General features: G+C 43.3%; 1 protein-coding gene across 9 annotated transcripts in view, besides 4 other annotated features; it reads right to left on the bottom strand.

Annotated features, from left to right (window-relative positions):
• Positions 1 to 22,976, bottom strand: part of DGKD (diacylglycerol kinase delta) — a 117,605-nt gene that overhangs the window by 90,380 nt on the left and 4,249 nt on the right. Inside the window, exon 1 of one of the 9 annotated variants that reach the window (XM_011512031.4) lies at positions 18,446 to 18,553. The exons of the other annotated variants lie outside the window; for them this stretch is intronic. The gene's annotated coding sequence lies outside the window, so the exon portion shown is untranslated. Of the gene's footprint in view, positions 1 to 18,445; positions 18,554 to 22,976 lie in introns of those variants that run through there. 9 annotated transcript variants of the gene reach the window in all.
• Positions 1,037 to 1,106: an enhancer, noted in NCBI's record as "active region_17344". NCBI's record gives its function as "activates an Ori minimal core promoter by ATAC-STARR-seq in GM12878 lymphoblastoid cells {active_cell/tissue: GM12878}" and the evidence as "EXISTENCE:reporter gene assay evidence [ECO:0000049][PMID:35858748]".
• Positions 1,237 to 1,286: an enhancer, noted in NCBI's record as "active region_17343". NCBI's record gives its function as "activates an Ori minimal core promoter by ATAC-STARR-seq in GM12878 lymphoblastoid cells {active_cell/tissue: GM12878}" and the evidence as "EXISTENCE:reporter gene assay evidence [ECO:0000049][PMID:35858748]".
• Positions 13,789 to 13,989: a silencer, noted in NCBI's record as "peak4087 fragment used in MPRA reporter construct". NCBI's record gives its function as "represses an SCP1 promoter by STARR-seq MPRAs in K562 erythroleukemia cells {active_cell/tissue: K562}" and the evidence as "EXISTENCE:reporter gene assay evidence [ECO:0000049][PMID:32103011]".
• Positions 17,544 to 17,643: an enhancer, noted in NCBI's record as "active region_17342". NCBI's record gives its function as "activates an Ori minimal core promoter by ATAC-STARR-seq in GM12878 lymphoblastoid cells {active_cell/tissue: GM12878}" and the evidence as "EXISTENCE:reporter gene assay evidence [ECO:0000049][PMID:35858748]".

Raw genomic sequence — 22,976 nt, 5'->3', positions numbered from 1 at the left:
TTACAAGCACCATGATTCACATATAGGAAGCAATCAGAAAATAATTTGTTCACAAAACGTAAGGCATGCAAAACATATTCAAAGACCTCCAGGTTATCTCCAACACTTCTTCACACATACCACAGCCACTACCCAAGTAGGAGCCATTTTCATCTTTTAATCTTCACACCAATTTTGAAAGTGGTGGTAATATTCCCACTTTACACATTACGAAACTGAGGGCCAGAGGATTAAGTAATTCACCCAAGGCCACTTGGCTAATGAATGACACACCAGAGCCCAGACAATAATACTTGTTGGCAAAATAAAACTTCAGCATAAAAGTCTGCTGATAACGGATTTAAATCAATTAAGCAAAGGTAAATTCCTGTATCTACTCAAAACACTACCCACAGATTCATCCTCATTCAGGAACTACCTGCAACTTACCCACCACCTGTCTACCTATAAGCTGATCTTACCGCATCCTGGCAGAAGCTGAGGGAGTGTGCACGCCCAAGGTGGCAACGGAGTGTGTGCCACATCAGCGTCTTCATGACACCAACGGCCAGCAGGAGAGAGCGCACCGGGCAACTGCCGCACTGCAGAATCCCGCTCAGCTCTGCAGAGCCAGGCCCTGAGTCTGGTGCTAACTCTGACAGAAAGGAACCCAACATAGGTTTTCTGAAGACTCCAAAACACCAACTCATGGAAAAAGGACAGTCATCCTTCCCTTACCCATCAAGAGAATCCAATTTCCCCATTGCCACTACCCTGGTTTTCAATGCACTGCCACCAGGATTATTAAAAACGACCATGTCCCAAAGCTCCTATGCCAAAGCCTCCACCGACAGGAGGAGAGACACCTCATTCCTGCCCCCACTAATGTGAGGAAGGACCAAACCCAAAAAAGCCAAAAAGTGGCAACGATGTGTATGCCCAAACCCCCAGGAGAGCGGCTCCAGGTCTGCCCCTCATTTGGAGTTCACACCCACTTTCCTAAAGCCAGGACGCTTCTCTTACTGCGGTATGCTGCGGTATGTGGTGTTAACACCCCCCCACACACACACACACACATCCTCACTGCTCACAGGACCTTGTTTCTGAACTGGGGGTGGTGGTCGCGGGGGACCTTTCATCATAGGGCTAATCCCCACTGCCCCAGTACTGGTCAAGGAGACCTAAGCAGTTCTGTTGGGGGTGGGGAGGTAGGCAAGTGCTTGGCTGGTATATGGGAACACGTGTAGTCTCAGTGCCACCTTTGCTTTAAATGAACATACAACATTTAGTGCTGCAGCAGCCATGCTGAGGCCACAAGGTAGCCAGTGTGGGTCCTGATGACATCAACCTACAGCCAAATGCATTCCTGTCTGATAACGATGGGTTGGCTGAGTTCACTCCCGCTCTGTCAGCATCACTGCTAATCCAACCTAGTCTTGCAGGCTGGCGTCCCCAGGGGCCAGGCCTCCACACTGAAATGTACCTCATCTCACTGTTCACTGACCCCCACGTTTCCTCTTTAGTTAATATTAATAGCATCATCAAATCTAAAAGAAGTAGCAGGTGCTCAACTCTTTTCCTCCTTCACTCCCCATTTCTAATTGCCTACCTAGGATCATTGATTGTATTTGTTAAAATAATGGAAGATTCTGCCCCTCCTCTTCAGCTCCGCCTACCTCAGGCTTAAGTTGTTCTGCCTCTTGTCTCTGCCTCAGTGCCTCTCAACGTGTGACCCAGACCACCACATCAGAACCCCTGGAACGTTTGTTAAAAATGCAGGTTACCGCTGGCCTGAAGGCAGTGAGCTATCTCAAACGATGGTTCACAATCAGTTACAGACTGAACTCCTTGCTCTATTCTCTACCCCATTCTCACTACTTCACTGGACTACTCTAAAAACAAAATACAGGTTATTAAAATAATAATATAGAAATAAAATAAAATAAAAAAGTAAAGAAAAAGCAAGTTACTGCTCCACTCCCAACCTCCTGAGCCTTGGAAATATGAATTTTTGCCAAGAGCCCAGGTGGTTCCTAAGCACACCAAGTTTGTTCTCTGTCCATCCTTCCTCCAACCTGCTGCCACAATTCTCTCAACGGGAGGATTTCATCCCAACTGCCACTACAATTACCTGACAAGCTTTGAGAAACAGTGACCACTGGCCCCACCCCACCAGTGATGAGCATCAGTGTGGGAGGGGGCAGGGAGCCACAGTGTTAAAAACTCCCAGGTGACTGGAAGAAGCATACAGTCTCAGAGCCAGGGCCCACTCCCAAACCTCTCCTTGCTTTCCTTGTCATCTAGGAAGGCTTCACGTGGCCCACCGGGCTCCTCCCAATCTGAGAGGCTCCTCTCTCACCCCTCCCAGAACCACCTGACCCAAACACAACCAACTCCTTTTATTTCCCCACTTTTTTGAATATACTCTTTCCTCCGCCTGGAAATCCTCAGCTCCTCTTCTCTTGGCTGGGAAATGACTAAGCTTTGAGACCCAAGTCAAATACCACCACCTTCGGGAAGTCTTCCCAGACTCCCCCAAGGCAGAACTAGCTATCACCTCCCCCCAGGCAGAACTAGCTATCACCGCTTTGCAAGTACATGAACATCCATTATGAGGCTGTCTCCCTCCCCAGACCAACAGTCCCTCAGGTTCAGTGGGTTTATTTATCTTAATCACGCCAGTGCCTCAGGAAGTTTTGTTTTTGTTTTGAAACAGGTTCTCACACTGCCAACCAGGCTGGGCTACAGTGGCTCAATCACAGCTCACCGCAGCCTTGACCTCTTGGGCTCAAGAGATCCTCCCATCTCAGCCTCCCAAGTAGCTAGGACTACAGGTGCGCTTGTTTTGTTTTGTTTTGCTTTGCTTTGTAGAGGCGGGGTCTCACTATGTTGCTCAGGCAATCCTCAGGCCTTGGCCTCCCTTATTGCAGGCATAAGCCACTACACCTCGCCAGGAAGTTTTACAAAATACTACAAAGGGCTAATATCCCTAATCTTTAAAGAAATTATAAAAATTGAGAACAGACTAAAAATCTGGTAGAAAAAGGGGCAAAAAATATGAAAACATTTGACAGAAAAAAATGCAAAAGGCGCTTAAACAAAGGAAAAGATGCTCAACCTAGCTCAGAAGAGAAAAACAAAACTAAGTGAAAATACTATTTGCACCATCAGACTGACAAAAAACAAACAAGGCTGAGCACAGTGGATCACGCCTGTAATCCCAGAACTTCGGGAGGCTGAGGCGGGAGGATAGCTTGAGCCCAGGAGTTTGAGACCAGCCTAGGCAACACAGTGAGGCCCCATCTCTACAAGTTTTTTTTTTTTTTTTGAGATGGAGTCTCACTCTATCGCCCAGGCTGGAGTGCAGTGGCACAATCTCGGCTCACTGCAACCTCTGCCTCCCCAGTTCAAGCAATTCTCCCGTCTCAGCCTCCTGAGTAGCTGGGACTACAGGCGCCCGCCACCACATCCAGCTAATTTTTGTATTTTAGTAAAGACGGGTTTCACCATGTTGCCCAGGCTAGTCTCGACCTCCTGAGCTCAGGCAATCCACCCGCCTTGGCCTCCCAAAGTGCTAGGATTACAGGCGTGAGCCACCACACCCGGCCTCAAATTTAGAAAAAAAAAAAAAATAGCTGGGCGTGGTGGTGCACACCTGTGGTCCAAGCTACTTGGGAGGCTGAGGTGAGAGGATCACTTGAGACCAGTAGTTCAAGGCCAGCCTGAGCAACACAGACCCTGTCTCTACAAAAAATAATAATAATTATTTAAAAATTAGTGCACCTATAGCTCCAGCTACTTGAGAGGCTGAGGTGGGAGGATCACCTGAGCCCAAGAGGTCGAGGCTGCTGCGGTGAGCTGTGATCGCACCACTGTACTCCAACTTGGGTGACAGAGCAAGACTCTATCTCAAAACAAACAAACAAACAAAAAAACCAAAGAGGCAACACATTCTGCTTCTATGGCAACGGGGAGACAGGCACTCAACACGACTGCAAAACGGGATGGCCCTGAAGACAAACATTTGGCAAAATCCAGAGCAGTTATTCATGCATTTACTCTTCTGATCTAGCAAGCCCACTCCTAGGAATCTATCCCAAAAGACACTTTGGCAAAATAGAAAAAAAAGTTTGTACAAGGCTATGTGCTACAAACTATTATAGCAGAACACTGAAAATAACCCAAATACCCACCAACAGGCTAGTGGTCGAATAAATTACGGTACATTCAAAATATGGAGTACCATATAACTATACAAGGATTGTGGAAGATATTTTTATACACTACGGAACCTCTCCAAATCAGAGCAAGTAAAAAGATAACTGTGCAGAACATGCATAGAACATGCTATTAAGGGGCCAGGCGCAGTGGCTCACGCCTGTAATCCCAGCACTTTGGGAGGCCGAAGCGGGTGGATCACCTGAGGTTAGGAGTTCAAGACCAGCCTGGCCAACATGGTGAAACTCCGTCTCTACTAAAAATACAAAAAATTAGCTGGGAGTGGTGGCACACACCTGTAATCACAGCTACTCGGGAGGCTGAAGCAAGAGAATCGTTTGAACCCAGGAGGTGGAGGTTGAAGTGAGCCGAGATCGTGCCATTGCTCTCCTGCCTGGGTGACAAGAGTGAAACTCCGTCTCCAAAAAAAAAAAAAAAAAAAAGGAACATGCTACGCTATTAATATCTTTTTGTAAAAAGGAGGACATTGTTTGTGTGTGAAGAAGATAAACTTAGTTTTTTTTTTCCAAAAAGAAACAATGGAAGGATTAACCAAAATAATAATAAAAATGGTTAAGTGGTTACCTCTAGGGAAAGGGAACAGGGTAGATGAGACAGGGAAGGCACACACATGATTTTAAAAGGACTCCCAGGACAGGGGCAGCACCCGCAGCAGCACCCAGGAGGCTGAGCTCTGACTTGCTCCAGGCTCAGGTGTAAGCACTTTCCAAAGATTACTCATTTAATCCATACAACGTTCCCCTTCCTGTGTCCAAGTGTTCTCATTGTTCAATTCCCACCTATGAGTGAGAACATGCGGTGTTTGGTTTTTCTGTCCTTGTGATAGTTTGCTGAGAATGATGGTTTCCAGCTTCATCCATGTCCCTACAAAGGACCCTAGAACTTAAAGTATAATAAAAAACATATATATTAAAAAAAAATCCATACAATGACCTCCTAAGGGAGGCCCAGGAAACATTCCCATTTCACAGAACCATGGGCAAGGAGAAGAAATAATCAGTATTTATGGAGTGCCTACTATGTGCCAGGAGCTTATGTAGAATCTGTATTTAATCTGCCCCATACAATAGTTATAGCCCCATTTTACTAATGAAGAAATTGGGGTCCAGAGAGGACATAGACATCTACAGTGAAGTGACAGATGTGGACTTCAGACCCAGATCTGTCTGATTTCAACTCTCTCCATGCTTAGACAGCAAATGAAAAACATTTTTTATGTCTGGGGAAGATTTACTTTTCATTATTTTTGTCTGTACAAGTTCAGACTAAATTATAGCCATAACCAGTCACCCTACTTTTTCTGAAAGTGAATTTATGCACAAACCCATCTCCACTACACACCAAAGGCGAAACAAACCTTAACCCCCAGCAGCAGGTGCGACATCCCAAAATACACACATGCGCTCTGTGGTTCATTAAGGTAGGAAAGATTCAGCTTCTGCGAAACCTACAGAACAAAATCCATCTCCCTATCGAGCTGTGGAATGAAATCACTCTGTTTCAATAAATGTTTATTGAACACTTGAGTGCTGAGTGTGGCTTGCAATACTACAGTGAAAGGGACTCGACCCTTGACCTTTCAGGAAACTGCTCCATCAGAGGGATACTTGACAGTAGGAAGAACCAGAAGTATTTGCTTTAAAATGCTCAGGAGAAAAGTAGGGGTGTGGGTAGGGGGTGGAGACAGATGAAACAAGAAAGACACAGGCTGATGTGATTAATTCAACGGTCTCTACTTCCGTGTCTGCTTGGAAATTTCCATAAATTGTTTTCAAGTGTCATAAGAGGGGTGCAGACAGGGCGCTTTGGAAACTTGGAAGTCAGTGAAACACACCAGAGGCCTGAAGCTGGTGCTGCCTGGACTAGAGGCAGCCTCCCCAGCTTCCTGACCTATGGATCCCACCTCAGAGGGCAAGGCACCAAACAGAAAAGCACCTGAGAACAATGCGGCAGTGCTGCCACTATCAGCATTCAACCTCCTCTCCCCTGGCATGTGCTCAACCAGCTGCTTCCTCACCTGTTTTCTGACATTTGGAGAATAAAGTCCTGTGTTAAATGGCCCAACTCATGGCAGACTTGTTTGCTGGAGGTTACTTTTTATTTACTTAAGACCACCAAGAGCCCAGCCACGCTAACACCTACTATTCACATGCCGAGATAACATCCTTCCCATCTGTTTTCTTTCTTTTTTTTCTTTTTTTTCCTTTTTTGAGACAGAGTCTCATTCTGTCGCCCAGGCTGGAGCGCGGTGGCACGATCTCGGCTCACTGCAACCTCCACCTCCCAGGTTCAAACGATTCTCCTGCCTCAGCCTCCCAAGTGGCTGGGACTACGGGCGTGTGCCATCACGCCTGGCCAATTTTTGTTATTTTTAGTAGAGACAGGATTTTACCATGTTGGCCAGGCTGGTCTCGAACTCCTGACATCGGGTGATCCACCGGACTTGGGCGCCCAAAGTGCTGGGATTACAGGCATGAGCCACCACGCCCGGCTCCATCTGTTTTCAAGTGTGTAAATAAAACAGAAAAGTGGGGCTGGGCATGGTATGTCACACCTGTAATCTCAGCACTTTGGGAGGACGAGGCAGGCAGATCACTTGAGCCCAGGAATTCAAGACCAGCCTGGGCAACATAGCATAGTAAAGTATCCCTCTGCTTTTATAGAGACTCTATCTCTATAAAAACTTTTAAAATTGGCTGGGTATGGTGGCATACGCCTGCAGTCCTAGCTACTAAGGAAACTGGGGCAGAAAAGTTGCTTGAACCCAGGAATTTAGGCTCCAGTGAGCTATGACTGAACCACTGCACTGCAGCCTGGATGACAGAACAAGACCGTGCCTCTAAAAAGAAAAATGTAAAAATAAAATTGTCAGGTGCTATGGCTCACACCTGTAATCTCAGCACTTTGGGAGAAAGAGGTGGGCAAATCACTTGTGCCCAGGAGTTCAAGACCAGCCTGGGCAACACGGTGAGATGCCATCTCTACAAAAAATCTAAAAATTAGCTGGGCATGGTGGCCCATACCTGTAGTCCTAGCCTCTGGGGAGGCCAAGACAGGAAAATCACCTGAGCCCAAGAGTCCAAGGCTGCAGTGAGTGATGATGGCACCACTGCACTCCAGCCTGGGTGACAGGGCGAGACCCCGTGTCAAGGCCAGGCGCAGTGGCTCACGCCTGTAATCCCAGCACTTTGGGAGTCTGAGGCAGAAGGCACACTTGAGGTCAGGAGTTCGTAATCAGCCTGGCCAACATGGTGAAACCCTGTCTCTGCTGAAAATACAAAAACTAGCCAGGCATCGTAGCAGGCACCTGTAATCCCAGCTACTCAGGAGGCTGAGGCAGGAGAATCACTTGAACCCGGGAGGTGGAGGTTGCAGTGAGCCGAGATCACACCACTGCACTCCAGCCTGGGTGAGAGCGAGACTTCATCTCAAAAACAAACAAACAAACAAAAACAAAAAAAACCCTGTGTAAAAAAAAAAAATTAAACTAAAAGACATAAAGGGGAGTTACATGATGTACAAATTATTCAATAACTTGCTTTTCCAAACAACAATATACTGCAACTAGATCTGCTTTTACTTTGTGTATTATTATTCTATATGTTATTTCTTTTTCATTTATTCAAATGTTTAGGGATGCTAATGTCATTATGAACATTATCTAAAGAACTGATAACATTGCACGCATCAAACAGTTTACATCTCAAGCTAAAATACATCCTATTCATATCAAGACCTTGAGCTCACTTCTTAGGTAAGTGTAGATTTAATTTCAACACAGGAGTTGAAAGTTCAAACAAGGGGGAACATAATTAAGTCGTTCCATATAATGTACCCATTTATTAGGATATTATGAAACTTAAATCCTGTATTTTCACAAGCATGCCCTTTTGTATATTTGACTCCTGAAATTCAATCTGTTTTGATCCAACAGTATCGTTTCAGCTGTTTTAGGACATTCCAGATAAGGCTGAGGGCAGCTGCTTCTCCAATCTGAATCATCTCCACGTCACAACACAGCCCCTCTTACCATTAGGAGTCTTCCATTGACGGGAAGCATGTTATGCCTTTTTGTTTCCTTTGGTATAAAATAATACATGCTCATTTTAGAAAATGCAGGCAAGCAGATGTAAACATAAAAATAATACAAATCTCACCACCTAACCCGACCCACAATATCATAAGAAACTTCCTCCGTGTTATTTCCTATTCCATCTTATTTCCAGTGTTTTACACACTGCTGAAACGCATTCTGTAAACACAGCTTCGCCTCTTTATTTCTCCAACATCACATAGTACCGTCCCTGTTGCTGACCTCCTCAATTACCTGGCTGGCAGCTTCAGGCATTGAGAGCCATGCACATTGCCACTTTCCAGCTTTGTGACCTGGTGCAGCCACCATGAAGTTGTGAAGGTGAAGTGGGACAGCACGCGCACAGAGCACAGCACGGGACCCGCCCGCAGTACCCATTTTATCAGCTATTATCATTAACTCACTGAGTCATTACACTGGAGTGTTCTGGTGGGGTTTGTCCTAAGCTGGACTTGGACACTGGGGTGGCTTGCAACTTTTTATATTTAATGGTACAATAAACATGTTGTTCATGAGCTTTATATTTAAGATTATTTTCTCAGGATAGAGTCCCAGTGTTAGAATTCTGGACCAAGAGTCTCTTGGAGTTATTCAGACACTCACTAAGTCACTTTCCCAAATGGTTATACCCATTTCTGCTGCCAGAGGACAAAGAAGCTGCAGTTAACTACCAAGGAGTTTCTACAAACAGCAAATAATACAAAACACTAGTTAGATATAAAAACACAGACAATTGTGACTAATGGACAATAAAAATACACATTGGCCAGATCTCCCTTAAATGTAAGAAAAAAAATAAAAATTAAAAAAAAAAGACTTATGTCTTAATTCTTGACAAACCTGGTTCTACTTGCCCTCTTGAAGCACACAAAAATGTTCAGCAACCACAGAGAGAAAGGAGATAGAGAACAACTTCTCAGACTTCCCTTCTGCCCAGCTTCTGAGTACTAGTCCATTTTTATCAGAGTTCAAATACTGAGAATGTCAAATGAGACTGGATTTAATGAGATGAGTGTTATTTCAAGTTTACCAAACTATAAAAAGAACTGAATCAAGTCCATATTCTCAAACATAAAATGTAGAAGAGGCTGGGCTCAGTAGCTCACGCCTGTAATCCTAGCCACTTTGGGAGACTGAGGCGGGCGGATTGCTTGAGCCCAGGAATTCGAGGACAGCCTAGGCAACATAGCAAGAACCCGTCTCTACAAAAAATACAAAAATTACCCAGGTGTGGTGGTGCATGCTTGTGGTCCCAGCTACTCAGGAGGCTGACTGGGAGGATCACTTGAGCTCGGGAGGTAGAGGCTGCAGTGAACGGAGATCATACCACTGCACTCCAGCCTGGGTGACAGTGAGATCCTGTCTGAAAAAAATAAAATAAAACAAAATAAAATGTAGATGAGTTCCATGGCAGTAAAAATTCTGAAATGCAGATACTTCCTTTTAAACTCTTTAAATATGTAAATGTCTCATAACCATACATAAGAATGATTCTATTAAGAATCACTTTATGAACTCCATTGAGATTTCCAAGCACTCCTGAGGAGCTCTGTGGCTGTTTTTCAATACTGCAGGGCTGTCTGCACAGCTGGGGAGGCAGACTCCAACTGGAGAGCGCTCCTCTTCAACAGCTGGTGCTGGAGCAACTGCACATCCACACAGGAAGAATGAAGTTGGAACCTGACCTCACACCACATACAAAAAATAACTCAAAATGGATCAAAGACTAAATATATTAATAATAGCTGAAACTACAAAACTCGTGGAAGAACATAGGTATAAATCTTGTCTTTGGATTAGGCAATGGTTTCTTAAGCATAACACCAAAAGCACGAGCAACAAAAGAAAAAAATTGGACTTCATCAAAATTCAAAACTTTTGTGCCTCAAAGGACACTATCAAGAGAGTGAAAACACAACTCACAGAATGAGAGGAAATATTTGCAAATCATGTATCTGATAAAGTTCTAGTACCCAAAATATATAAAAAACTCTTACAATTCAACAACAAGAAGACAACCCGATTGGAAAATGGGCAATGGACCTGAATAGGTATTTCTTCAAAAAATATATACAAATGGTCAATAAACATATGAAATGATGCTCAACATTGTTAGTCATTGAGGAACTGAATAATATAATATTCTTAAATTATTAAATATTATAACATTTATATTATAATAAGTGGAAAGTAACAAGAGTTGGCAAGTGTGGAAACATCAGAACTCTCATGCACTGCTGGAGGGAACATACAATGGTGCAGCCTTTGTGGTTTAGCAGCTCCTCAATAAGATAAACACAGAATTATCCAGCAATTTAACTCACATGTACGTACCCAAAAGAAATGAAAACAGGTCAGCTGGGCACAGTGGCTCACACCTGTAATCCCAGCACTCTGGGAGGCCAAGGCAAGAAGATCACTTGAGCCCGAGTGTTCGAGACCAACCTGGATAACACAGCAAGACCTCATCTCTACAAAAAATTAAAAAATTAGCCAGGCATGGTGGCACACATCTGTAGTCACAGCTGCTTGGGAAGCTGAGGTGGGAGGACTGCTTGAGCCCAAGATGTGGAGGCTGCAGTGAGCCATGACTGCACCACTGCACTCCAGCCTGGGTGACAGAGACCCTGTCTCAAAAATTTAAAAAAAAATACAAAATAAATGAAAATAGGTATTTAAATAATAATTTGTACATGAATGTTCACAGCAGTTCTATTCACAATAGTCAAAAGGTAGAAGCAACCCAAATATCTGTCAACCGATGAATGAGCAAACAAAATGTGGTACATTGACAGAACAGAGTATTATTCACTCAAACAAAAAAAAAAAAAAAAAAAGAAGAAGTTCTGAAACGTACAACGTAAATAAGCCTTGAAAACACAGTGCTCAGTGGCCGGGTGCGGTGGCTCACGCATGTAATCCCAGGACTTTGGGAGGCCAGGGCGGTCAGATCACTTGAGGTCAGGAATTGGGAGACCAGCCTGGCCACAACATGGTGAAACCCCCTCTGTACTAAAAATACAAAAATTAGCCAGGCATGGTGGAGTGCACCTGTAATGCCAGCTACTGGGGGGGCTGAGGTGAGAGGATCGCTTGAACCTGGGAGGCAGAGATTGCAGTGAGCTGAGATTGAGCCACTGCACTCCACCCTGAGAGAAAGAGCAAGACTGTATCTAAAAAATAAATAAATAATAAATGAAATATCCAGAATAGGCAAATCCATAGAGATGGAAAGCAGATTAGTGGTTGTCAGCAGCTGGGAGGAGGGGGAAATGAGGAGTGACTCACGATGGGGAAGGGATTTCCATGTAGGGGATACAGAAGTTCCCAAACTAGATAGAGGTGATGGTTACACAATACCATTAATGTACTTAATGGCACTTAACTGTGCACTTTAAAATGGTTAAAATAGCAGGTTTAAAAGAAAAAGAGTGTCCCTCTTCCATCATTCTATAAGGACAAAGCACCATTCATCAGGGGATGAGAGTCCAGCCCTTCCTGCAGGGGAAAGGGAGGCAGACACCCTTTACCCTCAGACACAGAAGAGCAGAGCCAGCAGAGTGGGCAGCAGGTGATCAGCAAACACCCACTACTCAGGAACACACATGGACACGGAAAATGGGGCCATTGCACATGAATTCAAGGTGAGGGGAGAGCCCGCCCAGAGCAGCAGAGACACAGCCTGGGCCCGTGGCCGATCACCCCACGGCCAGCCCCAGATTGTGCCCAGCCAAGTCCCCAGGAAACAGCAATTCAAACCCGCAGCCTGGCAAACGCCATTCAAGGAACATCACATCAGAACAGAAAGGGGGAGGGGAGAGGCTGATGGAAAAACATGCCATAAAGTACATGCACAAACCTGAAATGAATGATTGCAGAAAATGGAAGACCATTTTAGAAAAGATGTGATTCTTGTCCTAAGATGCAGGAAGACGTGGCCTTTATTTAAAAAGTTAAAATTAAAATGTTTTTAAAAGACAGGGAGCACCAAAATGAGAATAGGTTGAAATTAAAAGACAACAAGCTAAGATGCTGACCAAGATTAGAAAACAAAAACAATCACACTACGGAAAAATTAAAATCCAACTGGAAGGAGTCAAAGGGAAAAATGTACATTACAGAAAATGTCACTGGTGGCAAAAAGACAAAACTGAGGCCCCCAGAATGCTGATGGATACAGTGGACAGGGAAAAATACTGAGATGGACAGAGTGGTAAGGAGACAGATGGTCTAACCTACAGATGAGAACCTCCCCCCAAAAAATAAAATAAATGGAGATGCAATATGAGAGGCAGAGACAAAAGCCTTCCTCACAGAAAGCTACCCAACTCACTTTATGAGGCTGAGACAACCCTAAACCTAAGCCAATCCAAAAAAGGAAAACAAAGACCTGCCAGCCTGAAATCTTGAAACTCCTAGGCACTCTCGTCCCAGGACTGGCAGGAAATGGGCAGCAATGCACGCTGTGGGCTGGCAGCCTCGGCCACAGGACGCACACTGTCCCTTCTACCTGAAACTCCAGCTCCAGGACTCTATCCAGAAGATGAAAACAGATCGCAACATAGCAAGCAAGCCTTTAAAGACCAAAGAGCCAGATGAAGGTGTGTTTCCAGGAAAATCAGGATAATTTTAGCATCAAAAAGAATGACTGTAACTGATTGTAAAACACTGAATAAAAATTGCCATGAATCCATATAGTGATACTCAGGGTGGGTGTGGGGGTTTAGGGTTGGGGGGAGAGAAACATTTGCCTCTACTGGGGATGACTATTTACCAAATCCTTACCTCGAACATTGGTAATTAAACAAAGAATCCAGCAATTGACCTGCCTTTTTAGGAGGAACTGTGGTCCTTAACTCGGTTGAAGTGAGCAAATATCCTTTTATTTTCACTTTTTTGATGGAGTCTCGCTCTGTCGCCCAGCCTGGAGTGCAGTGGTGTGATCTTGGCTCACTGCAACCTCCTCCTCCTGGGTTCATGCGATTCTCCTGCCTCGGCCTCTGGAGTAGCTGGGATTACAGGTGTCCACCACGATGCCCAGCTAATTTTTTTGTATTTTTAGTAGAGATGGGGTTTTACCATATCGGCCAGGCTGGTCTCGAACTCCTGACCTCAAGTGATCGCCTGAGCCTTGGCCTCCCAAAGTGCTGAGATTACAGGCATGAGCCACCGCGCCTGGCCCCAAGAAAATATCTTTACAGAATAACACCAACAGATAAATGTGGAATAAATGACACAATGGGGGTGGCAGGAATCTCCATTTTAAAAACTCTTATAATAAAATTGCTTCAGGCAAGTCCTGTATTGTGTATGAATATGGAAACCATTTGGGGTAAAGGATATTTGCACAGTGCCCAGGAATCACCTATTACTTCCTAACTGTAAAGGGGAAATCACATCTCCAATGAAAAGATCTGGTCAGGCAAGGTGGCTCATGCCTGTAATCCCAGAACTTTGGGAGGCCAAGGCAGGAGGATCACTTTAGGTCAGGAGTTCAAGACCAGACTGGCTTAACGTAGGGAGATCCCACTTCTATTAAAAAAAAAAAAAAAAAAAGAAAAAAAAAAGAGGAAGAAAAGACCTAGAAATCTGTAAACCAAGCGATGACACAGCAGAGGGGGACAGCCTGACAGGACACACCCACCTCCAAGTGGGATGCGGTAGAGCACAGAGCATTCCATATTTAGGGATATGCCCAAAATGTCAACCAAAATATAGAAGTGAGAGTCTTTGAAACTGCTTACTTCTACTTTATAGGAAATATAGGAGATAAAACAACAATGTAAAAGAATGATGGGAAAACAATCAGAAAAATCCAGAAAGATTATTAGGTTGGTACAAAAGTAATGGAGGTTTTTGCCATTAAAAGTCATTAATACAGCTGGGTGCGGTGGCTCATGCCTGTCATCCCAACACTTTGGGAGGCCGAGGTGGGCGGATCACTTGAGGTCATGGGTTCGAGACCAGCCTGGCCAACATGGTGAAACCCCGTCTCTACTAAAAATAAAAAAATCAGCCGGGCATGGTGGCGGGCGCCTGTAGTCCCAGCTGCTTGGGAAGCTGAGGCAGGAGAATCATTTGAACCTGGGAGGCGGAGGTTGCAGTGAGCCGAGATCGCACCACTGCACTCCAGTCTGGGCGACAGAGTGAGATTCTGTCTGAACAAAAAAAAAAAAAAGTCATTAATACCAGACAACTGCCCTTGTCTCTTGAAAAAGTTGATGTTATAGGCAGGTAGGGAACGGGAAGAGAGAACAGTGGAAGCTGTTCTAATTTAACAAACTAAAGAGATAACAACAACCAAAGATGATGCGTAAAACTTGATGGGTACCTGGTTCCCAAAAGGAAGGTCATAAATGGCATTTCTGGTTCAACTGGGGAAATTTGAAAATGATCTGGATATTAAATGTTAAAAAGTTTTTTCAGGTATAATGGTATTGTTATATAAGAAAATATCCTCATGTTGTGGAGACATACACTGAGGTATTTAGAGGTAAACTGTGCTGGTTCTGGGGCTTCTCTGCAGCCCCCTTTCTTTCTCCTCCCCTGCCAGTCCTTCCTTCTTTGACTAGTCCTCCTCTTCCTCTTCTGCCCACCTCCTAAAAGCCAACGGCCCCAGCATCCAATCGGGCCCTGACCCCGTCACACTGTCCTCACTCTCGGGCTCAGATGAACCATCCTCACTGCTGCTGCATGACTGGGGGCTGGGGAGGAAGGGACAAAGGAGGCCCTATCTGGGTTCAGTGAGACCTACATGGCTTCATGGCACACTAGCAAGCCACCTAACTGCTGAATCTATGTCGTTCATTGGCAAAACTGGGGTAGTGGAGAATAAGAGGTTCCAGGATAGCATGCAGCAGAGCCAGGTAACAGCAAAATCCCCAAAGCTGTCCTCAACCACAGCTCCTTATATCAGAGAAGAGTTCCATTATCCAGCTCATCACAGGAATCACAAACCTCCTCTCCCCCAACACCCACACCAAACCATCACTGAGTTCTCACAATGTCACCTCCTCAGCATCTCTCAAATCCAGCTACTTCCCCCATCGCCACAGCCACAGCACAGGCCCAGGCTGCCAGCATCTTTCACTGCATTGGGTCAGCCAGCATCCACTCAGGCAACCGCAGCGCAGCTAGAGCCATCTTTTCAACCACGATCCAATTAGGTCATGGTCCTTCCTAAAATCTTAAAGCAATAGTATCCCACTAATCTGGGGGAAAATAGGCAGAGCTCCCTAACACAGCCTCCAACCCTCTCCAGTGTCAGATCCCAACCAAAGGCTCCCGATGCTTACCAGCCCTAACCACCACAGCCTTCTTTCAGCCCCAAGATTTCCCCAAGCTCCCTCTTGCCACAGGGCCTTTGCATACCTCTTTGATCAGCAACCTCCTCCTCCTCATTCTTCTATAAATCCTTTAAAAAAATACTCTATTTCCTTTGAGTTTAATGTGTTGCTATTCTTCTAACTACCTGATTTTCAGCATGTCTTCTTTTCTAATATACGTATTTTAAGCTATAAATTTCCCTCTAAACATGACTTCAGCTGTACCCCATTTTATATATACATATTTGCTATTGTTCAACTCAAAATATTTAAGCTTTCTGTGACTCATAAATTACTTAGAAATAGACATCTAAAATTTCCAAATACATTGAGATTTTCTTTTTATTGATCCTGGCTTAATTCTGTTGTCAGAACATACTCTATAATTTCAACTCTTTTGAAAGCTGTTGAGACTTGTGTTATGGCCAGCATATAGTGAATTTCGACAAATGTGCCTGTGCATTGGAAAAAAACTTAGATTCTACAATTGTTAGGTACAGTGTTCCATACATTTCCATTAGGTCAAGTTTAGTACTTGTGGCAGGTGCAGTGGCTCACGCCTGTAATCCCAGCACTTCAGGAGGCCGAGGCAGGTGGATCACCTGAGGTCAGGAGTTCAAGACCAGCCTAACCAAGACGGTGAGACCCCCCCTCCATCTCTATTAAAAATACAAAAATTAGCCAAGCATGGTGGCATGGTGATGGACACCTGTAGTCGCAGCTACTCTGGAGGCTGAGGCAGGAGAATCACTTGAACCTGGGAGGTGGAGGTTGCAGTGAGCAGAGATTGCACCATTACACTCCAGTCTGGGCAACAGAGCGAAACTCCGTCTCCCAAAAAAAAAAAAAAGTTCCGTTCTTGTGTTGTTCAATTCTACACTTTTACAAATTTCTTTGTCTACTTGATGTATACAGCATGTAAGACAGGTGTGTTAAAACATCTCACTATGATTATGAATTTGTTTCCCTTACAATTGTGTTAATTTTTCTTCTATATATTTTGAAGTCATTACTTCCAAATTTTAAATTATTATATCCAAAATGAACTTTTTCTCATTTATCAGCATATCTTTATTAATAATTTTGCCCTTAAAATCTACTTTGATACTAAAATAGCTACACCAAGTTTCTTTTGGTTAGTGTTTGCATAGTATCTTTTCCTATTCTTTTACTTTCAATCTTTTAATATCCTTATGTTTTAAACGTATCTCTTTCAAATAGCCTAGTCAGGATTTGCTTTTGTATCCCATCTCACAATCTCTGTATTTTAACTGGAGCATTTAAGTCCACCTAGATTTAATGTGATTACTGACATACTGGGATTTCAGTCTACTAACTTACTGTTTGCTTTCTCTTTGTCCCAATTGTTCAGTGTTTTCTCTCCTTTCTTGCCTTCTTTCAGATTTAGAATCTCTGATTCTATTTTTCTTGTTTAGCTTAGCTATCACACACTATCACAATTTTGGTGGCCACCACACAGATTACACACAACATGCATCCCTGACTTGTCTAATATAATTGGATCTTTGTTCTTCTTCCTGGAAATGGAAAGACTTTAGAAAAGTTCTACTCTATTTGCCTCCTTTCTAACCTACAGGACATTGTTGTCATGTATTTTAATTCTATATAATTTAAACCCAAAGGCATAATTTTTATAGTTAATAATCATTTGGTCTTTCCCACGTAGAAACCCTTAAGTCTCTATTCCTTCCTGTAACTCTAACGCTTAACTTGAGCATTTTCCTTTAGCCAAAACAAACAAAAAACACTTAATGTTTCCTTTAGTGTGGGTCTGCTGGCAAAAACATTGTTTTTGTTTATATGAAAGTATCTTTATTTCAACTGTATTTTCTGAAGGACATTTTTGCTGCATACAGAATTCTGGGTTCACAGTAACTTTCTTTGAGGACTTAAATTTCAATAGACTTTTGGTTTCCATTATTTCTGTTAAGAACACAGCTGTCATTCTTTTTTTGTTTGGTTTTTGTTTTTAGAAGCAAAGTCTCGCTCTGTTGCCCAGGCTGGAGTGCAGTGGTGTGATCTCGACTCACTGCAACCTCCGCCTTTCTCTCTTTCTCTTCATCTATGGTTTTCAACGGTGCTACAGTTATCAGTTGCTTAACAATGAGCATATATTCTGAGAAATGTGTTATGAGGTGATTTCATCCTATGTGAACATCACAGAGTGTACTTTCACAAATCTAGATGGCACACACCTCATCTGTATGGCATGACCTATTGCTCTTGGACTACAAACCCATAGAGCACATCACTGTGCTGACACTGTAGGCAACTATAACTCAACGGCAAGTATTTGCGTATCTAAATATAACTAAACATAGAAACAGTACAGTAAAAATATGTCATAAAAGATTTTTAAAATGGTACACCTGTATAGGGTACTTACCGTAACTGGAGCTTGCAGGGCTGGAAGTTGCTCTGGATGAGTGAGTGAATGACTGGTGAGTGAATGTGATGGCCTAGGACACTACTGACCAGTACTCTATGCTTTGTAAACACTGTACACTTAGGCTATACTACATTTATTTTTTGAAAGACTTTCTTTCTTCAATAACAAATTAACCTTAGCTTACTGTAATATTTTTACTTTATAAACTTTTAATTTAATTTTTTACTCTTTTGTAGTAACATTTAGCTTGAAACACACACTGTACACTTGTACAAAAGTATTTTCTTTATATCCTTATTCTATAACCTTTTTTCTATTTTTAATTTTTTTAATTATTTTACTTCTTAAATATTTTTGTTAAAAACTAAGAAACAAACACACACATTAGCCTAGACCTACACAGAGTCAGGATCATCAGTATCATTATCTTCCGCCTCCACATCCTATCCCACTGGAAGGTCTTCAGGGACAATGACGTGCATGGAGCTGTCACCTCCTATGATAACAATGCCTTCTTCTGGATACCTCCTGAAGGACCTGCTTGAGGCTGTTTTACAATTTGTTTTTCTTTTTTCTATAAGTAGGAAGAATATACTCTAAAATAATAAAAAGTATAGATAGTAAATACATAAACCAGTAACATAGTTGTTTATTATCATCATCAACTATTATGTACTGTATATACTTGTATGTGCTATACTTTTCTACCACTTGCAGTGCAGTAGGTCTGTTTACACCAGCATCACCACAAACACATAGGTAATTCATTGCCCTACAACATTATAACAGCTACCACGTCACTAGACAATTGGAATTTTTCAGCTTCATTATAATCTTATGGGACCACCTTTGTCCATGTGGATCATCATCCGGAAACATCATTATGCAGAGCACAAGGGTGTACCAGGAATTGATTAGATATGGTTCTTTCAGTTCATACGGCTATCGAATCTGTTCATGGTACCTGTTATTTGTTGTAGAAAATTCTCAGGTATTACTTTTCTTTCTTTTTTTTCTATTTAATACAGAGTTTCGCTCTTGTCGCCCAGGCTGTAGTGTAATGGTGTGGTCTCAGCTCACTGCAACTTCCACTTCCCAGGTTCAAGCGATGCTCCTGCCTCAGCCTCCCGAGTAGCTGGGATTACAGGCATCTGCCACCACACCCAGCTAATTTTTGTACTTTTAGTAGACACAGGGTTTCACCATGTTGGCCAAGCTGGTCTTGAACTCCTAACCTCAGGTGATCCGCCCACCTCAGCATCCAAAACTGCTGGGATTACAGTCGTGAGTCACTGCACCTGGCCACATTATCTTTTCAAATATTGTGTCTCCTCAATTTTCTCTCACTTCTCCTCTCTTGTGACAATTAAACACAAGTAAGACCTTCTTACTATATCTGTCTCCCACCCTCTCCAAATTTTTCCATTTTTTATGTCTCCAGGCTTCCTTGTGGGTATTTTCTTCTGAGCTATCTTCTGGTTCACACAATTTTTTCAGCCTGGGTCTAATCTGCTCTTTTTTTGGTTAGTTAATTTTGATCACTATGCTTTTTCAATTTTATAATTTTCTTTTATTGGCTGGGTGAGGTGGCTCACGCATGTAATCCCAGCACTTTGGGAGGCCGAGGCGGGCAGATCACCTGAGATTGGGAGTTCGAGACCAGCTTAGCTAACATGGTAAGACTCCGTCTCTATTAAAAATACCAAAAAATTAGCTGGGCGTGGTGATGGGCACCTGTAATCCTAGCTACTCGGGGGGCTGAGGCAGGAGAATTGCTTGAACCCAGGAGGCAAAGGTTGTAGTGAGCTGAGATCATGCCACTGCACTACAGCCTGGGTGACAAGAGTGAGACTCCGTCTTAAAAGAAAAAAAAAATGTCTAGTATCTTTAGTAGAGGCGGGATCTTGCCATGTTGGCCAGGCTGGTCTCAAACTCGTGACCTCCAATGATCCACCTGCCTCAGTCCAAAAGTGCTGAGATTATAGGCGTGAGCCATCTGGCCAGTGTGGACTAGAATTTTCATCTGGTTCTTTTCCATAGTTTCTAGTTCTCTGCCAAAACTCTCCATCTGATCTCGTGTCTCCTCCAACACAACGAGCACAGTTGTTATAAAGTCTGGGTCTGGAGTCTGGAAGCCCTGTGGGTCTGTCTACAGCCTGTAGTTTCGACTGGTTTTAGCTCAAGTGCCTCGCCTCCCTTGATGTCTATTTTTTTACTGTATGCACAATCATGAACGTACAAACAGACTCGTGAAAGTCATTAGAGGCCTCCATTGATAACTGGGAGGATTAGAGGGAGATATCTCCCTCTAGAGAGGATTAAAGTTTGCTTCTGTTGGGAATCTAGAGACACTAGTACACTGGGATTACTTTAATTTCAGAGGACTGAGGTGATTTGAAGCAGGGCTGCAGTCCTTCCAATACTTCTGGCTCCTGCGCATTCCTTGGAAGTGGCTTCTTTGGATCCCAATCCAAATTGTGAGGGGAGGGTGTCACCCAGGACTGTTGCCCTTTGGCAGAACCTGGCACCTCAGCCCTGCTAAGGCACTCAGACAGTCTCACAGGGCTCAGCCTCTTGGCTCCCATGTTTTGTTCAGGGCCCAGTGTTCTTTCCCCAGGGCTGCCCTAGGGCTGCCATAAAACTTCAAGGCTTAAAACAAAACTTGGAAAAAAAAAAAAAAAAAAAAAACTTGACTGTCTCACTGCTCTGGGGGCTGGAAGTCGGAGATCAAGGGATCAGAAGGCCGCACTCCCTCTAAAGGCTCTAGGGGAGATTCCATCTGTTATCTCTTCCAGCTTCTGGTGGCCCCAGGCATTCCTTGGTTTGCATCAACGAACTCTAATCTCCGGCTCTATTTTCCCATAACCTTTTTCCCAACATGTCTTTCTGTCCAAATCTCCCTCCCCTTCCTCTTATAAAGAAACCAACACTGGATTTAGAGTTTCTCCTAAGTTCACGATGATTTACTCTCAAAATCTTTAATTAGCCAGGCACAGTGGCTTGAGCCTACGCTCCCAGCTACTCAGAAGCCTGAAGCAGGAGGATCACTTGAGCCCAGGAGTTTGAGACCAGCCTGGGGAATATAGCAAGACCCTATCTCAAAATAAAAAATTTTGGCCAGGCACAGTAGCTCATGTCTGTAATTCTAGCACTTTGGGAAGCCAAAGGGGGAGGATCGCTTGAGCCCAGGAGTTTGAGACCCCAAGCATGGGCAACATAGTGAGACCCTCGTCTCCATAAAAATGTGTTTTTAAATTAGCCAGGCATCATGGAATGCATCTGGAGTCCCAGCTACTCAGGTGGCTGAGGCAGGAGGATTGCCTGAGCCCAGCCAGAGACTGCAGTATGCCACTGCACTCCAGCCTGGACGACCGAGCAAGACCCTGTCTCAGAAAAAAAGAAAAAAAATTTTTTTAAAGATATTTAACTAATATCTTATTATGTGGGCATCCTGAAGTTCTAGGTGGACCAAATTTGGTAGAGATGCCAAATCCACTACAGACGCCACTACAGATTCCAAGGTCAAAAGCAGCCCCAAATACCACACTCACTTCCACAGATCTTCAGCCACCCCAGATCCTAGTCCAGAAATTCAGCATCATCTTATTAGCAGACTGTGCTTGGAAGAGTGGCGCTGCAGTCACTCAGCTCACCACTGCCAGAAGCAGAAGGCACTGCTCCCTACTCACCTTCCAGACCCAGCCAGTCACTGCCTCAAGAAGCCCTCCTAGACCTCCCTGATATCAGGTCAAATTCACCTATGATGTCCTCTCAAAGTATTCTGGCCCTCTCCTCATCAGCACCCGTCCCCATCACAACTTCATATTAACTGTGTGATTGTTTTATTAATGTCTTCTAGACTATCATCTCTAAAAATTTTTGTTGTTACTCAATAAGATACCCCTGGTGCCTCGCACAACAGTTAACAATGTTAAGATCTCAAATATTTGCTGTTAAACTGAACCAGTGAAATACAAAATGTAATACCTAGCCCATGGTATTCCCACTAGTACTCAATAAATTAACGATTTCTTTAAAAAATGGTCTTTGTTAATTTTCAGCCAGATTTGTTTGTATTTGCTCTTCTGGAGCCGAGAGATGGAGACTCAGACCAGCCTGAGCTGGAGAAAAATGGAATCAGGGAAATGATTCCTATCTGGGATAAAAAAAAAAAAAAATCAGAAAGACAAAAAATAACCAAAAGCAACCATTTAGTGATCATTTACTATACATCAGCCACTATGTTAGGTGTTCTACACAAATTATCCCATTTAATTCTATGAGTTAACATCCCCATTCCTATTTTATGGATATAACAACTGTTATTTCTATTTTACAGACATGGAAACTGAGACTCAGGAACACAGAGTTAACATTTACTTTCACTACAACCAACCCAAGAACTAATATTTTCCATGTTTACAGATGAGGAAACCACGTCTTAAGGGAGGTTTAGACACCCTGTCCACAATCGCATGCTTCATAACTAGAAGCGCAGGGTCTGAAGTGACTTCATCTGACACCAAAGTTTAGACTTTGAAATCCGACAATAAAATGGCATTAAAAACCTTTTACATTACTTCATCCCTACTAGGATGGCTAGTATCAAAAGAGAGATAATAACAGTTACTGACAAGGATGTGGAAAAATTGGAACCCTCCTCATACACAGCTGGTGGGAATGTAAAATGTTACGGCAGCTTTTTAGCTGGAAAATAGTCCGGTAGTATTACCATATGGCCCAGCACTTCCACTCCTAGGTGTATAGCCAAGATAAATGAAAACCTATGTCCACACAAAAACATGTGCATGAATGTTCACAGCAGCATTATCCAGAATAGCCAAAAAGTAGAAATAACCCAAATGTCCATCAACTGATAAATGGATAAATAAAATACAGTGTGCCTGTAGAATGGAATATTACCCAGCAA

This window comes from Homo sapiens, chromosome 2 (genome assembly GCF_000001405.40).
Source record: "Homo sapiens chromosome 2, GRCh38.p14 Primary Assembly".
NCBI lineage: Eukaryota > Metazoa > Chordata > Mammalia > Primates > Hominidae > Homo > Homo sapiens.
The sequence above is the reverse complement of the archived record's forward strand: the minus strand, read 5'-3'. Positions and strand labels throughout refer to the sequence as shown.